The sequence below is a fragment of the Homo sapiens genome, chromosome 9 (assembly GCF_000001405.40).
Source record: "Homo sapiens chromosome 9, GRCh38.p14 Primary Assembly".
Taxonomy (NCBI): domain Eukaryota; kingdom Metazoa; phylum Chordata; class Mammalia; order Primates; family Hominidae; genus Homo; species Homo sapiens.
In genome coordinates this window covers 14927928-14931870 of record NC_000009.12, presented here as the reverse complement: position 1 = coordinate 14931870, position 3943 = coordinate 14927928, and the positions used below count along the sequence as shown (strand labels likewise).

Here is a 3943-nt window from a genome sequence, read left to right as displayed (position 1 = left end):
ATTTAGTAATCATACAGATTTTACTAGGCTGTCATTTAAAAACATGATGAGTTAACAGTAATCTCCTGTGATTTTAACAATTATTCTTTTAAAAATATTTATTTATTTATTTATTTATTGAGACTGAGTTTTGCTCTTTTTGCCCAGGCTGGAGTGCAATGGTGTGATCTCAGCTCACTGCAACCTCTGCCTCTCAGATTCAAGTGATTCTCCTGCCTCAGCCTCCCAAGTTGCTGAGATTACAGGTGCGCGCCACCACACTTGGCTAATTTTTTTATTTTTAGTAGAGACAGGGTTTTGCCATGTTGGCCAAGCTGGCCTTGGACTCCTGACCTCAGGTGATCTACCCACCTTGGCCTCCCAAAGTTCTGGGATTACATGCGTGAGCCGCTGTGCCCAGCCCAACAATTATTCTTATAGCTAAAGATACACATTGTTTGTAGAGAAACCGAGTTTTCTGTTACTTCACTTGAATATAAGGGGATTAAATATCTTTTTGTAGTCGGAAAAGCTTCAGGACTCCTTGTCTGACTTCTACTGTCTAGTTTGCATAACCAGTGACTACTTTACAAACTCATTTCTTCGAACAACTTAAGAGGAGCAGTTCGCTCAGAAGCACATATAAGATGATATTCGTACTGCAAATGAGACTCAGGAAGGTAGGGGTTTTGCCTCAAGTCACAAAACAGCTTAATGGAAGAACTGCAAAAGGAGCCCAAAGTGCTTTGATCACAACTCATTCTTGTCCATTTGGTTGGAAAACTCAACTTTTAGTAAAAATAGGGAAATGCACTCAACCTAAGAGCACATTAGAATGCTTGTTATATGCTCCTGTAGTGACTTTCACTTCCCCTCATGACCCTCATCATGTTCCCATTTCTAGTTAGATGTCCTCCTCTAATTAGATGATAAGCCTCAGGAAGAGAAGCTCACACCTGCCTTGCTCACTGTTGTAGTCCTGTATTTAGTCAGGGCTTTCCAGATAAACAGAATCAATAGGCAATATATACATATATAGAAAAAGATTTATCATGAGGGATCACCTCATGCAGTTATGGAGGCTGAGAAGTCTCATGATCTGCCACTTGTAAGCTGGAGGCCCCCAAAAACCAATGGTGTGGGTCCAGTTCAAACCTGAAGGCCTGAGAACCAGAGGAGCTGATAGTGTAAGTCCCAGTCTGAGTCCAAAGGCCTGAGAACCAGGAGTGCCAGTGTCTGAAGGCCAGAGAAGATAAATGTTCCAGCTCAAGCAGAGAGCAAATTTGCCCATCCTCTGTCTTTTTGTTTTATTGAGGTCTTCAATGGATTGGATAATTCCCGCCTGCATTAGTGAAAGTGATCTTCTTTACTCTTTTTACCAATTCAAATGATAATGTCTTCCAGAAATACCCTCACAAACCTGGAAATAATGTTTTACCAGCTATTTGGGCATTCCTTAGCCCAGTCAAGTTGACACATAAAATTAACAATCACAATTCCTGACACATAGCAGGTGTTAAACCAATATTTATTGGCTTATTGACTCTAATAAATCCACAGATTTAGTCAGGCTAGGGTTGACTGGACTTGGAAGTTAATGCTGTTACTTAAAACTCTGTTTCAAAATGCTGTGGCTAAAACATACAACAGTTTATGATATAGCAATTTCAGACCTGAAAATATACGGAAGAGAAATTAGTACATAGGTCCACCTAAAGAGAAATTAGTACATAGGTCCACCTAAAGAGAAATTAGTACACAGGTCCACCTAAAGATATACACAAGAATGTCCATAGCAACTTTATTCATAATGGCCCCAAACTAGAAACAATCCAAATGTCCACTAACAGAGAATGGATAAATAATTTATTTAATATTCATGCAATAATATGCAGTCATAATGAAGAAACTATTTGTATGTGAAAGACATGGATAAATTTCACAAACAAATGACAATATAAACTATATTATTCCATGTATACAAAGTTCAAGAAAAACAAAACTCATCTACAGAATCAATAGATGACATATAGATATATAGAAAAAGATTTATCATGAGGGTTTGGCCCATGCAATTATGGAAACTGAGGAGTCTCATGATCTGCTCTCTGCAAGCTGGAGGCCCATGAGAACCAGTGGTGTGGGTCCAGTCCAAATCTGAAGTCCTAAGAAACAGAGGAGATGATAGTGTAAGTTCCAGTTTTAGTCCAGAGGCCTGAGAACCAGGAGTGGGGCTGAAATAGTGCTCAACTCCGAGTGCTGGCGGAGAGTATTGACTGGACATGGAAATGAGGAAAACTTTTGGGGTGCAGAAAATGTCCTATATCTTGATCTGGAGGTTGGTTACATGAGTGTAAATGAATGTGTAAATTCATCAAGCTCTACCCTTAATTAATGTGTTTTATGCACTTTATACATATTATACCTCAAAATATGTTTTTTTAAAAACCCCAGAATTGGTATTCTTTCTAGAGGACATTTTGAATCTGCAACGTGGAAAAAATTTTGCTATGCTCAAATTTTCAGAAGTGTCCTATTTTCTACATAAATAATATGATTAACTTCAATAATTAACATTTATCGTTGAAAATATTATTCCATTTAAAATTTATGTCAACTCCTGGAGATGTCTAAAAGAAAAACCCTCATTTTATCCACAAGTAACTGAGGTTCTGAAAGATGAGCCCACTTCTCCAAGGTCACACAACTTGTAAATGCCAAGGCTTCCTTCAATCCCAGAGCCTCAGACTCTATACCACTACTGCTACCCATGATTCCATGCATGACCAAGCTACTCCATTGTTCTTTTACAGATGTATTATATGGAACTGATCTGAATTCAAAATATTAACTTTCTTGCAGGTTCTTCATTTGTGAACAAATGACATTTTATGCTGAAGATAGGCTTGCACCTGAGAGTCAACAACAGGGCCTTGTTAGATCTGGGCTGTGCAATGTTGTTAAGCTGTCCCATGATCCAGCAGATTAGAGCATTAGGGACACCCTGACACACTGAAGACTTGACATCACTTCAGATGAAAATGCTAAGATTGGTAGGTTTCTCCCTACCACAGGGAAATTAGAAATTATGAAATACATTGCAAAGACACAAGCCACGTAACATGGAATGCTGGCTTGGAAAAAAAGGACCTGAGCTTATGTTTAATCCCACCCTTACCTCTGGGAACTGGGGCACATTTCTGGGTTTTGAATTTCTCTTCTGTAAAAAGAAGACCAATGGCCAGTTCAGCCATGGCCAGTTCATCACTAATATCCCTTGAAACTCCGTGAATATATTCTATGAATACAAGCCTTAGAGGCAGCCTCTTGCTGCAAAAATGCAGCTACAAGTCTTTGATTCTTCTGTGGGTGAGATGAACACAGTCATGCCAAAATCATAGTGTTTTATAATAATCAAACAAGTTAATGTTTATGAAATAGCTTTGGAAATTGAAAAAGGCTACGAAATATTGCATTACATATGCAATTTGCGATAATTGGAGTAATTAATACTCATTTGAGATCAGCCATGTTGGAGTAGGTTAGATCACTCACATTCCTCTCTTCATGTACTGATCTAGTAACATTTGATCATCACTTCAGAGGTTACAGATGATGTGCTGCTGTCTATTGGATGATGCAGTTTATGGTTTTAAAATCCTAAGGGCCACCCTAAGAACCCAGGGTTACAATATGCTCAATATTTCTACTGATGATACTGAAAAGTCAATTTCTAGAGGATTCTCTACTTAAGAAGACAAAAATCCTTGACAAATACCTGCTTGGTTCCAAGATATGGTGGCATAAGTTGAGCAAAATAACAGATCAATGGAAAAGCATGGACAAGATAGGTAATAAATTCCTACTCCATTGGCTATAGTACTGAGCATTTACTTTGCTAAAAGGATGCTGGTTCAATGTGTCATGGAAGGAGTGCCCTGCAGAATAAATTTTGGTCTTGAAA

General features: G+C 38.4%; 1 long non-coding RNA gene across 1 annotated transcript; it reads left to right on the top strand.

Moving 5' to 3' along the window:
* Positions 1–202: 202 nt before the first annotated feature.
* On the top strand, positions 203–3943 carry LOC124902122 (uncharacterized). The gene is made up of 2 exons (XR_007061421.1): positions 203–245; positions 2842–3943. It is a non-coding gene; the product is annotated as an uncharacterized LOC124902122 (long non-coding RNA).